The sequence below is a fragment of the Homo sapiens genome, chromosome 11 (assembly GCF_000001405.40).
Source record: "Homo sapiens chromosome 11, GRCh38.p14 Primary Assembly".
Taxonomy (NCBI): Eukaryota; Metazoa; Chordata; class Mammalia; order Primates; family Hominidae; genus Homo; species Homo sapiens.
Genome location: NC_000011.10, coordinates 46,460,308 through 46,480,150, shown reverse-complemented (window position 1 = coordinate 46,480,150; position 19,843 = coordinate 46,460,308). Strand labels below are relative to the sequence as shown.

Below are 19,843 nucleotides of genomic sequence, written 5' to 3'. Positions count from 1 at the left end.
CTCATCTGATTACATGAGCTATTAAAAGTGGAAGAGGAAGGCAGAAGGGTCAGTCAAGGTGCTGCAATGATCAAAGATGGGAATGGCCTCTGCTAACAGCTAGCAGCGAGTGGGAACCTCAGTTCTGCATCTGCAAGGAACTGAATTCTGCCAGCAACCGAAATGGACAAGGAGACAGACCCGAACACAGGCCAGCCAACACCTTTCTTCTAGCCCAATGAGTCCTTTGTTTGACTTCAGGCCTATAGAACTGAGAGATAATAAATTTGTCTTGTTTAAGCCACTAAGTTTCTGCTTGTTGTTATGGCAGTTATAGAAAACTGATAACAGATAGTTTCACACATGTATCTGGCATTTGGCAGGCTATTTGGCTTCAGCTGGGATGACTTGTCTCCTTTCTATTCACCAGTAAACTAACCTGTGCTTCTTCACATAGTGTCTCAGGGTTGTGTGTGTGACGGAATCTCGCTCTGTCGCCCAGGCTGGAGTGCCGTGGTGTAGTCTCAGCTCACTGCAACCTCCGCCTCCTGGGTTCAAGTGATTCTCCTGCCTCAGCCTCCCTAGTAGCTGGGATTACAGGCGCCTGCCACTACACCTGGCTAATTTTTGTATTTTTAGTAGAGACAGGGTTTCACCATGTTGGCCAGGCTGGTCTCAAACTCCTGACCTCAGAGTTCTGAAAAGAAGCAGGAGAGGTCAAGTCCTACTGCATAAGCACTTTTTGAATCTCTCCTTATGTCATGTTTGCTTTTGTCCATTCCATCAGCTAAAGCAAGCTGTTTGGGTAAGCCCCAAACCAGGAAGAAGACTCTCTAAGGCCATGGATACAGAAGGGCCTAAATCATTTGGGGCCATTACTGTAACATGCTGCCACAACTAAGTAGGCTTTGAAATCTGAGGTAGCCTGCTAGCACACTCTGAACACATTGCTTTTTTTTTCTTTTCTTTCTTTTGAGATAGGGTCTCACTCTGTTGCCCAGGCTGGAATGCAGTGGTTTGATTACAGCTCACTGCAACCTCTGCCTCCTGGGCTCAAGTGATTCCCCGGCCTCAGCCTCCCAGGTAACCGAGACTACTGCACATGCCACCATGCCTGGCTAATTTTGGTATTTTTTGTAGAGACAGGGTTTCACTGTGTTGCCCAGACTGGTCTTAAACTCTTGGGCTCAAGCGATCCTACCACCTTGGCCTCCCAAAGTGTTAGGATTACTGGCGTGAGCCACTGCGTCCAGCACAAATTGCTTTTTTTAAAAGTGTCCTTACATATACTGAGGAAAGCTTCAGCATACCAAAGGATATAAAGGTACAGATTTAGAACTTTCAAGAAATATCTTCGGGCATGGTGGTGCATGCCTGTAATCCCAGCTACTCGGGAGGCTGAGGCAGGAGAATCGCTTGAACCCGGGAGGTGGAGGTTGCAGTGAGCCGAGATTGCGCCATTGCACTCCAGCCTGGGCAACAAGAGCGAAACTCCATCTCCAAAAAAAAAAAAAAAAAAAAAAGAGAAAAAAGAAAAAAACAAGAAATATCTTGCCTTAGGTAATTATTTGGGTTATTCAGAGAAATGAATTTAGGAACAACATTCAAATAAAAAGCTGGACCCTGGTTTCCTAGACATAGGATATCAGGGAAACTACCTTTTCTCTTTCTCTGGGTATTTTCTAGGATATAGCCCTGTATTTCTGTGCTGGAGGGTAAAAAGATGTGCAAAAGAGCTCTGTGGGTGGTTGGGCCCCTTGGGGCCAAATGTATTTCTGTGTAGGAGTAAGACTGACAGAATTAACTGTGCAAGCACTTACTAATTTGCTGTAAGTGAACCTGTACCCGTGGCATCATTTATAATCCAGAGCTCCTTGAACAGAAGCAACTCAGAAGAAAAGTTCCTAAAAACTAAGGCAAGGAATTTTTGTGTGCCCAATTACTGTGGCATATTATGCTTTCTTATAGCAGTGGTTGGGAGAAGCAAGAATTCAGCTATTCTCAAGCATAGGACTTAGCTTTTACTTGGCATTATTGAGATTGGTTAAAAACTATTTTATGGGGACCAAATGTGAATTGCATAGATTGGGCCTCAGGTCACATAGAGACAAATTCAGTATATTCACCAGTCATTCTTTTTTTTTTTCATTCACCAGTAAACTAACCTGTGCTTCTTCACATAGTGTCTCAGGGTTCTTTTCAAAGTAGAGAGTTCTTTTAAAATACAAAAATTAGCTCTGGCTAATTTTTGTATTTTTAGTAGAGATGGGGTTTCGCCATGTTGACCAGGCTGGTCTCGAACTCCTGACCTCAAGCGATCTGCCCGTCTCAGCCTCCCAAAGTGCTGGGATTACAGGCGTGAGCCACTATGCCTGGCCTCACCAATCAATCTTTTAGGACTTCCTTGATGTACTTTTAGAACCACCTCAGTCGCTGATGGGCTGGGGGCTCTGCTGTTGATAAACCCTGGATATTATCCTAGGCATGTGCATTCAAAATGGTATAGCCTATGTACAATAAAGACGTGTCCTCAAAGAGGCTGGGCACAGTGGCTCAAGCCTGTAATCCCAGCACAGTAGGCCAAGGTGGGAGGATTGCTTGCACCCAGGAAAGCCCAGCCTGGGCAACATAGTGAGAGCTCATCTCTACAAAAAGTTTTTTTTTTTTTTTTTCCAGAAATTAGCTGAGCTTGGTAGCATGTGCATGTAGTTCCACAGTTCCAGCTACTCAGGAGGCTGAGGTGGGAGGATCATTAGAGCCTGGGAGGCAGAGGCTGCATTGAGCAGAGATCACATCACTGCACTCCAGTCTGAGTGACAGAGCAAGATCCTGTCTCAAAAAAAAAAAAAAGAAGTATCTTTAAAGAGACAAAGACTCTCCCTAATGAAAACTCGGCCTTATCCTTTTTTGTCTGATAAGAGTTAGAGGTTGTGGTGATGAGATTGAGCTAGTGTCCTTCTATTCTGCCTTTACTTTTACTCCTGGGTCCCTTTCCCCTCCCACCCTTCCACCTTTCTCCCTTTATCTGTTGTGGGTCTCAGTATTTAAGCAGATTTTTTTTTTTTTTTTTTGAGACAGTCTTGCCCAGGCTGGAGTGCAGTGGCGCAATCTCGGCTCACTGCAACCTCTGTCTCCCAGGTTCAAGTGATTCTCATGCCTCAGCCTACCTAGTAGCTGGGGGGTTACAGGCGTGCGCCACCATGCCCAACTAATTTTTTTGTATTTTTAGTAGAGACAAGGTTTTACCATCTTGACCAGGCTGGTTTCGAACTCCTGGCTGATCCACCCACCTTGGCCTCCCAAAGTGCTGGAATTACAGGCGTGAGGCACCACACCCAGCCTTAAGCAGAATTTGAACTTGATTTTCTTTAAGGCAGAACTAATAGAGCTAACACAGGAGCTAACTGAGAGCTTATAAAAGCCACAAAGTGTTTCTTGGTCTAAATATTTTTCTGGATTCTGCTGATGTGAAGCAACTGGGGAAAAGTGGTAAAATGTTGTATAGCTTATTTTGCAAACTAATTAAAACTGAAAATATCAGTGCAAAGCTGGAGTAAATTGTTTAAAATGCCCAGTTTCTTCACTCCCATGTTCTAGGTGGAGAGGCCACAGGGACAGTTTAGGAGCACATGCTGTGAATAAGTTTCTGGCTATTCTAATCTATGTCTTACCTGGGAAGAATGTGAAGGTCCTATGGGATAGAAGCAGTACCAGCACCACGGGTTGGCTTGGGACTCTTTACGTATCTCCCCACCACTATTATCTAACCACAAGCCACCCCTAAAAATACACCATCTAAGTGAAAAACAGTGTGCTTGCTCTGCCGGCAGCTTCAAGACAAGTCACCTAACTTGTGCACACCCTACTCGTTCACCTGCCAACCCTGAGACTCATTTATAGAATTTCTTGAGCTGCCACTGGATGGAACTAACAGAGAAATTGGCCATGGGATTTGGAGGTAATAGTGCTGAAGGAAACACTGACTGGCTGATTTCCCCTCTCAACTTCATGGACACTTTTTCCTCTTCTCTGTTATTATTTCTGGGTACTGTGTGTTGGAGGTTTGGTTTGTGTGGACTCATCAGTCATTGTTTTCAGGCACTGAGTGCAGCTCTCCACCTTTTCCTTTGTGATATTAGTGTCTCCCCTATATGGAAGAGTGACCATTTTCTGAAAGGCTAATGCAGCTATGGAGGGGAACAGTGTTCTTTTCCGACACCTGGAGAATAGCTGTTAGGGTTTAGAATTCCTGAAAAAAATCATTTTAGTCTTGATATTTTAGTATATCCTTTATTTGAAGCTGCCTGCTTTCTTTGCCTTCTTTCTTGTGAATGCCACAGTTTCCTGTTCCACCTTTCTCCGAATCTGAGACCTTACAGTAAAAAAGAAGTATGCGACAAGAAATTACGGGATTCTCGTATCCAGAGCAAAGTGATGATGGTTGCAAGTTGACTATTTGACATTTTACAGTTTTATATGACTCATAACTTTTGTGTGGGGAGCATAACTGAAACAAATTATCAAACTGGGAATGGCCTCAGGGGCTCTGTCTCTGAAGGAAAGGGTTGGAATTTTGAGTCCTTGGGCCTTCTGAATTTGACAAATTGAATTATCCTAGGATTCCTCTGTCTCTCATTTTCATTTTTCATTGGATAGTCTGTGATGGGAGGGGATTTTTGTATACAGAGAAATAGACTCAATCAAAGAATACAGCAAACTAATACATGTGGAATTAAGGTCCAGTCTACCCCCTCAAAGAAATGTATGCTTGTCTGTTCCTTTTCCAACCTGGAACCTGGACATTAAACTGTTGAATATTTTGTCTATCTTCCCTTTTGGCTTTGATGTTCTTAAACGTTGAACGTTAGCAAATGTCATGGAGACACACCCATAACTACTTTCTTGTAAGGAAACCAAGGACTTGAATTCTTCTCTTATTCATAATTAATACTTTGCATTCCAAGTTATAGGTAGCACTGGGCGCTGGAGGCTGCCTGCCAGATAGGCTGACTAGGGTTTGAAGTTAGTTGGGTTGCTATTCTACTTTGCAGAAGAACCTAAAATACTTTAATTTTTTTTCTATTGATAAGACTGTTTTTCAGTTTAAGATATATTCAATTCACCTCACTCATTTTCTCCTCTCATCTCCTCTCCAAGTACTCAGGTTGATCCTATGGGAACATAATGTCATCCTCCTCATGTTATACATATATGCGGACTTTGTCAGGCTGAGCCTTAAAATGTCCATTTCTCAAGCGCACACTGTGTTCTTTCTCTTTCGACTATCTTGCTTTTTGTTTTTTTTCACTGTTCTGGCTCTGATATGGGTTAGCTGCCCTCAGTGAACCAGTACTGTATTTCTTTCCTTGAACTTAACTTTACCTGCTAGCCATAGGGAAAATCCAGAATGAGTACTAATCCTTTCTGGATTTCCCCCTCTGTCCAACAGACAGTATAGTATAGATGCTTAAGAACAAGGGTAGAGGCCAGGTGCCGTGGCTTACGCTTGTAATCCCAGCACTTTGGGAGGCCGAGGTGGGTGGATCACCTGAGGTCTGGAGTTCAAGACCAGCCTGGCCAACATTGTGAAACCCCGACTCTACTAAAAATACGAAGTCAGCCAGGCGTGGTGTCACGTGCCTGTAGTCCCAGCTACTCGGGAGGCTGAGGCAGGAGAATCGCTTGAACCTGGGAGGTGGAGGTTGCAGTGAGCCGAGATTGTACCACTGCACTCCAGCCTGGGCGACAGAGCAAGACTCTGTCTCAAAAAATAGAACAAGGTTAGAAATTGGGCCTCTGTTTATGTTGAGAAGTATATGAATAGACCTGTTCGTATTGATCATATACCTGATAATAATTAATTTATTTATTCCCTTATTCATTTGAAAGTATTTTCCTCCGGTGGTTCTAATATTTACTAACTTAATAATGAAATTAATCAACCAGGAAAAATATCAAACTGACTGATTTTACCACCACATTTATTGCTACTCTTTTTTTTTTTTCTTCCTAAATCAGGGCAGCACCCTGAACCAGTAAAAGTTCAGGGATCTCCTCATTGCTATTCTAAGGAGTAATATAGTCCTATTTTCAAGTTTGTGTGTATTCATTGGAATATACTTCTTGAGTGCTACTATGTGCTAGGTAGGTCCTACACTAAGTGTTGGGAATTTTTAACAGGAAAAATTAAGTTACCTTCTTTAAGAATCCTTAAAGGATCCTGTCCGGGTGCGGTGGCTCACGCCTGTAATCCCAGCACTTTGGGAAGCTGAGGCGGGCCGATCACAAGGTCAGGAGATCGAGACCATCGTGGCTAACACGGTGAAACACCGTCTCCACTAAAAATACAAAAAGTTAGCCGGGCGTGGTGGTGGGTGTCCGTAGTGCCAGCTACTTGGGAGGCTGAGGCAGGAGAATGGTGTGAACCCGCGAGGCGGAGCTTGCAGTGAGCTGAGATCACACCACTGCACTCAGCCTGGGCGACAGTGCGAGACTCCGTCTCAAAAACAAACAAACAAAAAAAGAATCCTTAAAGGATCCATTATTTTTCTGCCTTTTCAATACTTATTATTGCTATTCTACCTCCAGAAATCCTGGATTTTTTCTGATTCTTTATCACTGATCATTATATCACTCTGTGACAGTTTCCCCCACAAGTAACAGGAAGAATTAACTTTGTTTTATGTTAGGGCTTTATCCAAAGATGTCAATACAATACTCATCCTATCAGAGAAATGTGTTACAAAAATGCAAGTTATCACCCTCTCTACTTTTCTCTGTGTCACTTAAACACACCTAAAGTTCCTGGCACTCAAACCAGATGTACACAGGCTTCTTTTCCTCAGAAAGCTTTTTTGGGGTATTGCAGTGTCTTTCCAGCTTTAGCTTCCTTTGATGAGGTCAGTTGTCTCTTCCTGGCTATCACAGAGGCTGTCATGCTGACATGATACAGGAGGATGTAGTCTTTAATGAGTGCCTTTGGCACTACTTGTCAATTGCTTATTTTCCAGTGACGTTGCATTAAAGTATTAATTAACCACTAAATTCAAGTTGACCTCTTAATTGAGGAGGCTTTGCTTTCCTGAAGGCAGGCAGACTGACTTTCCTAACATGATCTAGCACTCTTGTATGCCAATAAGTTTTGATCAGTGTGTAAAATATACCTTTACTAAAACTGTTACTGTAATATCAGGTTGATTTGAGGTTGAGGAAGTCACACTGTGTTCTAGAGTGGGATTTATAAGTTGGTATGAGCAAGAGGTAAGGGACTGGTACCAAAGAGCAAGCCTGTGTTTCCTGGAGCATGTGTGGAGTTTGCCTGGTGAGCAGGTGACAGGGCAGGGAGAACAGCTCTGCTCAGTGACTCAGTGACATAGTTCCGAAGGCCACCAGATAAGGACTAGGAGACATTGTCTTACTGTAAGTGATTTGTGTTTTTATTATTGCTGACTTTACTGTTCTCTGAGTCTTTTGATTCCTTCAAATTGCTAAGAAATCTAGTATTCAAATGTATGTTGTGAACACAAAAAGATTGAGAACTACTGATCTTGTGTTTTAGAAAATAAACTAGAAGTTGACAGGTTGTTCTCCTGACTCCTTCAGTAATTCTCTATACAATTTGAGTGAGTCATTTAACCTCTGTCCACTTGACAGGTGAGGGTGTGGTACTTACCGCTATGTTCCTTCCAGAATTTAAGTAGGAAAAATTGGTAAAGTGCTCTAACTTCATTTGAAAAAGATATTATCTGTAGTCCAAAGGAAGAAAATTAAATATATGTCCTAGCACCCAGGTTATTTGCGGTAGCTGAACTACTTGAGACAAGCTGGGACTGCCAACTTTAGATGTTCCAGTGACAAGAACACCTCAATGCTAAGAGACAGGCTCAGGTGGCTGAAAAGGATCCATCTCAGTTTAATAAAAGGAGTTGCCAAAGAACATCTGAGTTGTGCTAGGCACCCTTGGGACATAAAATAAATACTTCTTGTTGAACTAAATAGAAGCGGTCACAGCAGCAGTAAGGAGGAGGTAAGACTTGTCCAGGATTTGCACAGAATCTTTTCATAGGCTGAATGTTGCTCCACAATGTGTCCTTTGACTATCTCTGGCTAATTATTATTTTAATCTCTTCTCAGCTTTTCCAAGAACATAACGTTAACCAAAGATCTTAGGCCATTCACAACTCTTTTGTAAAAATTAATGTGGATGTGAAACGAGGCAACAAATCCTGAAGTAGAAAGTTATTCCTGGCCAGGCACGGTGGCTCACGCCTGTAATCCTGGCACTTTGGGAGGCCGAGGTGGGTGGATCATGAGGACAGGAGATCGAGACCATCCTGGCCAACATGATGAAACCCCATCTCTACTAAAATACAAAAAATTAGCTGGGCATGGTGACGCGTGCCTGTAGTCCCAGTTACTCAGGAGGCTGAGGCAGGGGAATTGCTTGAACCTCGGAGGTGGAGGTTGCAGTGTGCCGAGATCACGCTACTGCACTCCAGCCTGGCAACAGAGCAAGACTCCATCTAAAAAAAAAACAAAACAAAACAGAAAGAAAGTTATTTCTTAACCCTTTTGGGGGAAATGCCAAAATACTCTTAAAGGAATATTACTCTGTTGCCCAGGCTGGAGTGCAGTGGGGCGATCTCGGCTCACTGCAACCTCCATCTCCCAGGTTTACCCCATTCTCCTGCTTCAGCCTCTCGAGTAGCTGGGACTGCAGGCGCCCGCCACCATGCCCAGCTAATTTTTTGTATTTTTAGTAGAGATGGGGTTTCACCGTGTTAGCTAGGGTGGTCTCGATCTCCTGACCTTGTGATCCTCCTGCCTCGGCCTCCCAAAGTGCTGGGATTACAGGTATGAGCCACCGTGCCCAGACGAATTTTTATATTTTTTAGCAGAGGTGGGGTTTTGCCATGTTGGCCAGGCTGGTCTTAAACTCCTGATTTCAAGTGATCCGCCCGCCCGAGCCTCCCAAAGTGCTGGGATTACAGGCATGAGCCACTGCATCTGGCGTGAATTCAAATTTCGTCTAAACTCTTGGTAACCTGGAGACCATGGGCAAATGGTTTATCTTGATCTGAGCCTCAATTTCCTCCTCATCTATTAGATAGGGATTCAGTAAATTCTTTCAGCAACTACCCTATCAGAAATCGCCATGCAACATTTTCCATGCCTCTTCCCTGTTTTATATTTCTCCATGGATCTTACCATAATTTAACATACTATATGGTGAACTTATTAGTTCTTTCTCCTCCTCCCTCTAGAATGTAATTTCCATGAAGGTGGGAATTTTTGTCTGTTTTATTCATTGTCTGGCATGTAGTAGATACTCAAATATTTGTCTGATGAGTAAACAAACTTCCTTTAGGGTGGTTGTGAAGATAGAATGGGAGCTTTTTATTTTATTTTTTTGAGACAGTCTCACCTTGTCACCCAGGCTGGAGTATGGTGGTGCAGACATGGCTCACTGCAAGCACCCAACTCCTGGGCTCAAGCAATCCTCTCACTTTAGCCTTCTGAGTAGCTAGGACCGCAGGCCCATGGTGCCACACCTGGCTAATTTTTTTTTTTTTTTTTTTTTTTTGAGACGGAGTCTCACTCTGTCGCCCAGGCTGGAGTGCAGTGGCGCCATCTCGGCTCACTGCAAGCTCTGCCTCCCGGGTTCACGCCATTCTCCTGCCTCAGCCTCCTCAGTAGCTGGGACTACAGGCACCCACCACCACGCCCGGCTAATTTTTTGTATTTTTAGTAGAGATAGGGTTTCACCGTGTTAGCCAGGATTGGTCTCGATCTCCTGACCTCGTGATCCGCCCGTCTCGGACTCCCAAAGTGCTGGGATTATAGGCGTGAGCCACCGCGCCCGGCCAACCTGGCTGATTTTTTAAAAAATTTTTTGTAGATATGGGGTCTCCCTATGTTGCTCAGGCTGGTCTTGAACTCCTGGCTCAAGTGATCCTCCCAGCTTGGCCTCCAAAGTGCTCGGGTTATAGGCATGAGCCATGGTGTCCAGTCTTGAATGAAAGCTTTTAGAGCACTTATTTTGGCACTTGGCATGTTTTCTTTAGCTCTAAGGAAGATAATACAAGTCTTATTTATATAACTGATTAATGTATAAAGTATCTTGCTACACAATGCTTAGTTATATCAGAATGCAAGTATGGATATTAGATTATTGTAAATTTTTAAAATGAAATAGGCTGGGCACAGTGGCTCATTCCTGTAATGCCAGCACTTGGGGAAGCCAAGTTAGGAGGATTGCCCGAGGCCAGGAGTTCGAGACCAGTCTGGGCAACATAGTGAGACCATATCTCTACCAAAAAAAAAAAAAAAAAAAGTTTAAGTTAGCTGGGCATGGTAGTTTGGGCCTGTAATCCTAGCTACTCAGAAGGTTGAGACAGGAGGATTGCTTGAGCCCAGGAGTTCGAGGCTGCAGTGAGCAATGATCGTACCACTGCACTCCACCCTGGGGCAACAGAGTGAGATCCTATCTCTAAAAAAAGAGAAAAAGAAAGAAATATATGTTGCTAAGTCTTATTCTTAGATTCATTTTACTCTGAAGATAACATATTTAAATTGTGCCTAGTTTATAGTATTTTCATTGTACATATTTTCATATAATGTACATATTTTCATACAGTTTTCATATATATTACACATATAATAGGTGTACATATTTTCTGTCTCCTTCAAGATTGTCAGTTCTCTCAAGTTAGGAACCATACCTTTTTTTCATAGTTGCTGTCCCCAATGTTTCTTTTACAGTCTGTTGTAATCTAAGGATTCTATTTCTTTTTTTTAACTCCTTACTATCATTCCCAAGGTACTCTGTTTCTAAAACATTCAGAGAAATAAAAAATTCTGTTATAAAAACAATGATTTCATTTTGGAGGAAGGGAAGATTAGGAGCTGGAGAGTTCAGCATAAAACACATTTTACCATATTCAATGAAAATACGTTAGATATAGATATAACTGTAAAGCCTAAACTAACTAAATCTAATATTTTATTACATCTTCTTTTTCTTTTTTTGAGGTGGAGTTTCCCTGTTGTCACGCAGGCTGGAGTTCAGTGGCGTGATTTCGGCTCACTGCAACCTCCGCCTCCCAGGTTCAAGTGATTCTCCTGCCTCAGCCTCTTGAGGAGCTGGGATTACAGGCATAGACCACCACACCCAGCTAATTTTGTATGTTTAGTAGAGACGGGGTTTTGCCATGTTGGTCAGGCTGGTCTCGAATTCCTGACTTCAGGTGATCCACCTGCCTTGGCCTCCTGAAGTGCTGGGATTACAGGCTTGAGCCACTGTGTCTGGCCTTCCTCCTTTTCTTTCTCTCTTTTTCTTTTTTCTTTTTTTTTTTTTTGAGACGGAGCCTCACTCTGTTGCCGCCCAGGCTGGAGTGCAGTGGTGTGATCTCGGCTCACTGCAAGCTCCGCCTCCCAGGTTCACGCCATTCTCCTGCCTCAGCCTCCTGAGTAACGGGGACTACAGGCGCCCGCCACCACACCCGGCTATTTTTTTTTTTGTATTTTTTTGTATTTTTAGTAGAGACGGGGTTTCACGGTGTTAGCTAGGATGGTCTCGATCTCCTGACCTTGTGATGCACCCACCTCAGCCTCCCAAAGTGCTGGGATTACAGGCGTGAGTCACTGCGCCTGGCCCTGGCCTTCCTTTTCTTTAAGAGTGATGCTTGTGCTACTAGGAGGCTGAGGTGGGAGGATTCCATAAGCCCAGGAGTTCAGAGTTACATTGAGCCAAGGGTAATGCTTGGGCCTCCTTCCTCTTCTTTTTTCTTTTTTTTCAAGAGATGAGGTCTCACTATATTGCCCAGGCTGTTCTCAAACTCCTGGACTCAAGCCATCCTCCTGCCTTGGCACCTCCTAAGGTGCTTGGGACTACCAGTGTGAGCCACCATGCTGCCCGCCACCCCTCCCCACTTTTTTTTGTATTAGTGATTGGTCCCACCACGCACTGCTTGCTGCATATTCTTTATCATCTATTGTTCTTATAATTCACAGAACCACTCAAAGAAGGCAGCTGTTGTTTGGCCATTTCTTCATTCAACAAATGTGTGAGGGTTTCCAATATACCTGTCACCATCCTATGCCCTGGAAGAATAGCAACCATGTTTTCCTAAGTAAACTGAAGATTCCAGGATCTCTTCTCACTATTCTAGCCCTGATTGAGGCCATTATGCTTTCGTAGCAGTTTCCTGCCTGGTTGTTCCCTGCTTATAATCTTCCCATGCCAGAAATACTTGCCAGTATGTGGCCCTAGACTTCTGGTAAACATGAAAGAATGAACATGTGTGTTTATCTCCACTCTCTCCCAGATCTCTTCTAAATTAACAGTAAAAGGGCCAGGTGCAGTGGCTCACACCTATAATCCCAGCACTTTGGGAGGATCACGTGAGGTCAGGAGTTTGAGACCAGCCTAGCTGACATGGTGAAATCCCATCTCTACTAAAACTACAAAAATTAGCCGGGTATGGTGGTGTGCTACTCGGGATGCTGAGGCAGGAGAATCGCTTGAACCCAGGAGGCAGAGGTTGCAGTGAGCTGAGATCGTGCCAGTGCACTCTAGCCTGGGCAACAGAGTGAGACTCCATCCCAAAAAAAAAAAAAAAAAGAGTAACATAGAGTAACAGTAAAGGAATTAGACAAAAGTATATATTCATTGTAAAAAGAGAATGGGAAAAAGCGAGTGATGATTAGTAAGTGATGACAAGAACATTTCTCTTCTAGAAGAAACAAAATTGCATGTGAAAGGAAATACGAATTTATTATACTATTCCTGTATTTGTGAATATTTATATAGTTATAATACTGTAAATAATTTACATTAACCCAAACATGGGATGTAACTATTTTGGAAGGATGGGGGAGAAAAGAAGGTAGGAACAAATCATCTCCCATCATAGGAAATCAGTAGATAATAGCGGAAATTGAAAAATCAGTTATAGGCCTAGTGCAGTGGCTCACACCTGTAATCCCAGTACTTTGGGAGGCTGAGGTGGGCAGATCCCTTGAGATCAGGAGTTTGAGACCAGCCTTGCCAACACGGTGAAACCCCTTCTCTACTAAAAATACAAAAATTAGCCAGGTGTGGTGGCGTGCACCTTAGTCCCAGCTATTCAGGAGGCTGAGACAGGAGAATCGCCTGGATCCGGGAGGTGAAGGTTTCAGTGAGCCAAGATCGTGCCACTGCACTCCAGCCTGGCAACAGAGCGAGACTCCATCTCAAAAAAAAAAAAAAGAAAAAAGAAAAGAAAAAAAGAAACATTAGTAATTTTAGAAATATGATGGTTAATTATCAGAAGAAAAAAAAGGTTTGAAAAGTGATTGCCTCTGGAGAACAGAAATCAAGGAGGGTGGGTCATGGGGCTGGAGGCTGCCATTTAACTTTATTAGCCTTGAATACTTTCTAACTTTAAAAATTATGGGTAGGTAGTACTTTGATAAAAATAAAAATTTGAAAGCTATCCACTGTGTAATTTACTTACTCAAAAATGTCAAAAGATTTCTCTTTCCTGCCACACAGATGACAAGTTCCTTATCTTTTTTCAACCTGATCTCTATTATTATTTATATAAGCCTTTGCTTCCCACTGAACTGGTATTAGCTCTTGACCCCTGAATCCACTTTGAGCAGTAACCTCTTTCTATCCTGAACCATTCTCCTTTCCACATGCTTCAAGCCCTAGTTCCTCTGTACTCTGTAAATTTCCTGCTCCTTCTCAGGTAGCCATTGGTGCCCAGTGGCCCCTTCCTAAATGGCTGTGGCTGTGGTTGGTCTCCTCGTTAGATACTCACATTGCCCTTTTTTTTTTTTTTAGACAGAGTCTTGCTCTGTTGCCCAGGCTAGAGTGCAGTGGCACGATCTCGGCTCACTGCAACCTCCGCCTCCTGGGTTCAAGTGATTCTCCTGCCTTAGCCTCCCAAGTAGCTGGGACTACAGGCGTGTGCCAGCACGCCTGGCCTCATTTATAATGCTTTTGATGGAAGTCCTATCTTCCCAACTGGATTGTAGGCTCCAAACAAGCAAGAAGTACATCTTACTACCATTTTATGTACATCTTCCACAGTGCTATTTGATAAATACCTGTTTAATATTCAGTTCTCACTCAGCCATCAAAAAGCTTTCTGTTTTGAGATCACTATTCTTTATTCTAGGCATGTCTCAAGACTCTGTACTTTAGTCTAGATCCCAAATCTGTGTATCTTTGTCAGCCTTAGTGAGGTTGAAGGCCAAGGCTTTATCTGTTTGCTGCTGATACTGTCGCTGGTTGGCACAGCATGCTAGTTGTTTTTTATAGAATATAGCATGGACAGTTGCACAATTTCTGTGAATGTTTAAGCAAGATTGTATGTATACATTTCAGAAGTTCTGTGTTACTTATGAGAAGTGCTAATTTATCATGAGCATCACTATTTTGGGGATGGATGAACCTTTTTCCTTTCTACCTCCTTACACTGATGATCCCTTACACTGCAAAGAGCCAGGAAAAACCAAAAGTAAATAAAGCCCTATGCAGTCTCCACTTTTTCTCTTTGCACTCTCTAACCACCTGGCTTTGCATGTTCCCTAGAGAGGCTTCCTCTGTGATATATCTTAGCCTGTTGAGCCCCAAAGTTACCTGAAATATTTAGGTCACTAGTTTTTAATCTTTAGAGAACAGTGAACTCTCTGAGAAAATATGGTAAAAACTTAGACCCTACACTAAGAAAAAAACACCTACACATAACTGTAGTAACGTGTGCCCAGGATTTTGTTTTTATTCCAATATGGTAAGGACAAAAGATGAAGAGATGATTGCCGTTGAAAGGATAGTTTGTTCCTTACAGTTCCCAAGAGATGAGCGTGTGCCATGCCACACAACACAAGGCCACATGGGGAAGTACCAGGGAGTCAGGAGGCAGAAGGAGGGCAGGGAGGAGCATGAGCCTTTATTGGGGTTTCTAGGGGAAGGGATGGGTGAGGCTAAGTAAGTTTAGGATTGGATCGGTTTGAATAATTTTGGCAGGGTCTGGGCTGTAGGTGTGGGCACTAGTTGTCCATACTTGGCCCTGGGGTGATTTAGGGCTGGGGAATATTGTCTTGGTGTTTATTTTTTTTTATTTTTTATTTTTATTTTTTGAGAGGGAATCTCACTGTGTCGCCAGGCTGGAGTGCGGTGGCGCGATCGCAGCTCACTGCAACCTCCACCTCCCGGTTCAAGTGATTCTCCTGCCTCAGACTCCTGAGTAGCTGGGATTACAGGCACCCACCACCATGCCTGGCTAATTTTTGTATTTTTAGTAGAGACGGGGTTTCACCCTGTTGGCCAGGATGGTCTCAAACTCTTGACCTCGTGATCCGACTGCCTTGGCCTCGCAAAGTGCTTGGATTACAGGTGTGAGCCACTGCGCCCGGCCTTGTCTCGGTGTTTAATAAAGGAGGTAGTTAGGGTATGGACTCTGGATTGGTTGGTTTGCATATCAAAGGCAAGTTGTTTGCAATCTCCAGGAAGTAACTAACCCTGGGAGGTACAGTTGCTTATCTGCAAAGCCCCTAAGATGTCAAAGCATCATAAAATATAGAAAATTAAAAATATTAATGTAATAACACACTCATGAACACATGCACAATTTTATTTGCTATTTCAGGGGTTTCTTGAACCACCTGAAGCCTATCTGTAGACCCAAGGTACAAAACCCAAATTGGGTCCTGGGAGCTCTGTGCCTTTGAATACAGTATTTGAGTTTAGTTTAGACCATCTCAGGAAGGTGCATAGTGAATTATTAAATCCAGGGAAATGCAGCAACTGCTCAACTTTTTTGGTAAAGCTTTTCTTTCTACTTTGTTTTGACTTTTATACTAGGAGCTTATTTGTGGGTATTTTGTGCCAAGAGGGATAAGCCTGCATTCTCTAATTGCTGCATCAAGTCTGCTCACAGGGCGTCCTGATGACATTTTAAATACATGGAAATTTTTGAATGCATGAAAACATCTAGTGCTGATTCTCTGGCACCTGCTCTTCTCTTCTTGGAGTTTATCCCATTGCCTAATTCTGTATATTGTTTCCAAACCTTTCATTAACCATTGTTGGAATTTTTGCTTTTTAACCTCAGCATCCCCACTTATCTTTTGAACAGAAACAAAAACTGTCTCTGACTACTAGGCATTTCCTAGAGTGAAAAGCTCCCTATCTCTCCTTTTCTGACTTTTCAGAGCATGAAATGGCTGTGCTAATCCTGTTGGCCCCAAGGCAAGAGCCTTGCAGAGGCTAACAAAGGAGAAGGCCTGCACCCACTTGGATCTTCCACAGGCCAGAGCAGGAATTTTTTTGTTACGTTTTACCAACTTGCAGAGGGAAGCCCGCCCACCCCGGCTTTGTTTTGGCTGCAGTTATATTTCCCCTGCATGAAACCATCAATTTCTTAGGGCCCCGAGTACTGTGCTATGTAGACTTCCAGAAGTTGGGTGCTTTCCTGGAGTTGCAGAAATCAGACAAAAGATTTTTAGGAATTTTGGAAGTGCCATTCTGACGATTGAGTGGGTATCTTCTCAAAGCCAAAGATACTTTGAGTCCTAGTTAACAAATTGAGTTGTAATTCTGTGCTTTTGTGCAAGGTACTCTTTAGTTAAGTGCAAGGATTCGGAGGTACTTAAGTCTCTCAGAGGGATTTAAGGTAGTCCCTACTCTTAAGGAGCTGACAGTCGAATAGTCCAAGTCAGATATATTCAAGTGGCCCTTTGTTTCTTTAATTAATATGGAGTTACTGCATACCTTCTACAGCAGAGCATCTATATATTTTATATAAAGATGAAGAAACTGTGTGTGTTCTTGCTATCAGAGGCACCTACTAATAATGTACTATGGGGATTCAGATTCAGGGAAAGTGTTGAGTGGGAATAGAACAGGTATACTTGGCTTGTAGATTTTGAGTTGGCCCCTGGTGGGCTGAATTTTAAACTCATCCTCAAGTGGAGTGAATAATGGTAGAGCATCCTGCAGAGGGCAGGAAATTGAGCAGAAGAACTGTAACAGAATAAGAGAGAAACAAAGTGCCATGGGGCTTCTGAAGAGGAGATCATAATCAGGTTAGTGAGATTAGAAAAGACTTCTTAGAAAAGGGGATTATTGGCCAGACGTGGTGGCTCACGCCTGTAATCCCAGCACTTTGAAAGGCCAAGGTAGGTGGATCACTTGAGGCCAGGAGTTTGAGACCAGCCTGGCCAATATGGTGAAACCCCGTCTCTACTAAAAATACAAAAATTAGCCAGACATGGTGGTGCACGCCTGTAATCCCAGCTACTTGGGAGTTTTGAAGCAAGGAGAATCGCTTGAACCTGGGAGGCGGAGGTTGCAGTGAGCTGGGATCGCACCACTGCACTTTAGCCTGGGTGACAGAGTGATACCCTGTCTCAAAAAAAAAAGGAGGGGGGTGAATTATTTGAGAAAGTACTTGAATGGGGAGATGAGGGATGAAGGGGATTTTAGTAAACATTGACTAGGGCAGGGAGGAGGGAGTCTAGATAGTGGGGGCAGTATGAGCAGAAGGTTTAAATGTAGGGATGTGTTTAAAACACATGTACAAAGTGATGGGTCTGGAGAGCAGTGGGAGACAAGCCCAGAGGGGTAGATGACAGACAGGTCCAGATCGAGGAGGGCCTTGAAGACCAACGAGTCTACCTCAGTGTAGTCAGTGAGGAGCCACTAAAGCTTTAGAGCAGGTAAGTGACAATCAAAAATCTGCTTTAAAAACAATCTGGCATTGAAGACAGACGTGAGGAGAGTAAAGAGGAAGATAGATGGTTTTGTATGGGACAAGGGCCCGGCGCTTAGTGTTGACTGCAAGATTATTTCCTGGTTTCCCATACCCCAAGGGGCATATAGAGAAGCTTGCAGGTTTTTGTGTATTCTTTATGATGACCAGCAACGGAGTTGGTCTTAAAAAGGTGTGTGCTTACACCGCCGTGCTCACTTGTTTACGCGCATCCCTAACTTGTGATAGCAGGTCCAGGGTTTTCTGGGAGATGCATGCAGCTCTGACAGAAAAGGAAACACCAAAATACATTTTAATCTCGTCAGATATCTCTTGTAAAAGCTAGAAATTTGCCACAGGCCTTTCTCAGACATTTATCTAACCTGACATTAAAATTATGAAGGATGAAGGGGATTTTAGTAAACATTGACTAGGGCAGGGAGGAAGGAGTCTAGATAGTGGGGGGCAGTATGAGACTTAAAATTAAGTCTTTCTTCTTTTCAGGGTAAGACGTTATATGGCATCAAGATGGCATTGAAGAGAAATGCTTGGGCCTGGGCATGTGTTTGCATGCTTCATCTGTGCAGACAGATTGTTCCTAGTTTGAACTCAGGAATTCCATGGCTTTAGAGTCTCTGCCTTTGTGGGGTACAAAGTTTATGTGACCATATGTCACTCAATAGCTGCCTGCAGAATAGTTTCACCAGTGCAGTAGCTCAGGCTTTACATGGTATGAACTTGATTCATCAAGACTCAGGACATGTTTCTGTGGGCATAATCTTTTATGTCAGCAATTCCAAATAAACAGAATGTAGACTTTCTGCCTGCCTCTGGAATTTAGTGGGACTCCACATCCCCAAGTATTTAACTTTAGCCAATTATGACCTCCCCCATACTATGTTGGTCAAGGCTTAAGATTGTGGGAAAGCACATAAATGTTCTTTCCTTTGTATTCCCAGTTGTTTGCTTTCGTTTGCTTCCTTCCTTCCTATTGTGAGAAATTTTAAAAATACTTGCAAACATATGCCCAGAAATTTTAGAGTAGTATCTATACAGGCATATATATGACATGCATTTGTGCTTCCACAACCAAAATTTAATAGTTATTGACATTTTGCCCTATTTGCCTCAACAAATTGAGTTGTTTTGCCCCATTTGTCTCAACAAGTTTATTATATTTTATTTTTCCAGTCAGGGTCTTCCTCTGTCACCCAGGCTGGAGTGCAATAGCAGGATCACAGCTCACTGCAGCCTTGACTTTCCAGGTTCAAGAGATCCTTCCACCTCAGCCTCCTAAATAGCTGGGACTATAGGCGTGTACCATCGTGCTTGGCTAATTTTTTAATTTTTTGTAGCAATAAAGTCTCATTAGATTGCTGAGGCTGGTCTCGAGCTCCTGAGCTCAAGGGGTCCTCCCGCCTCAGCCTCCCAAAGTGCTGGGATTATAAGTGTGCACCACCACTCCTGGCCCTAATTGTTTTTTATTTAATTAATTCATTTATTTATTTTTGAGATGTGGTCTCACTATGTTGCCCAGACAGGCCTTGCATTCCTGGCCTCCAGTGATCTTCCCACCCTGGCCTCTCAAAGTGTTGGGATTACAGATGTGAGCCACCGTGCCTGGCCTCCCAACAGATTTTTGAAAATGAAACATTTCAAATAAAGTTGAAGTTCCTTTGACCCCTTTGATTATCTTTACCACTTCACAGGCATCTGCTCTTATGACTTTGGTTTATATGGTTGTACTTTATCTTTTATAGCTTAATATATTAGTAAAATATTGTTTTGTATTTTAAGAGTTGTGTTTATGCTGGACGCGGTGGCTCACGCCTGTAATGCCAGCACTTTGGGAGGCTGAGGTGGGCGGATCACGAGGTCAGGAGATCAAGACCATCTTGGCTGACACGGTGAAACCCTGTCTCTACTAAAAATACAAAAAAAATTAGCCGGGCATGGTGGCGGGCACCTGTAGTCCCAGCTACTTGGGAGACTGAGGCAGGAGAATGGTGGGAACCCGGGAGGCGGAGCTTGCAGTGAGCCAAGATTGCGCCACTGTGCTCCAGCCTGGGCAACAGAGCGAGACTCCGTCTCAAAAAAAAAAAAAAAGAGTTGTGTTTATATAA

At 43.2% G+C, this 19,843-nt stretch overlaps 1 protein-coding gene across 10 annotated transcripts in view; it reads left to right on the top strand.

The window, feature by feature from the left end:
- Positions 1-19,843, top strand: part of AMBRA1 (autophagy and beclin 1 regulator 1) — a 197,612-nt gene that overhangs the window by 113,873 nt on the left and 63,896 nt on the right. The gene's annotated exons all lie outside the window — the stretch shown is intronic.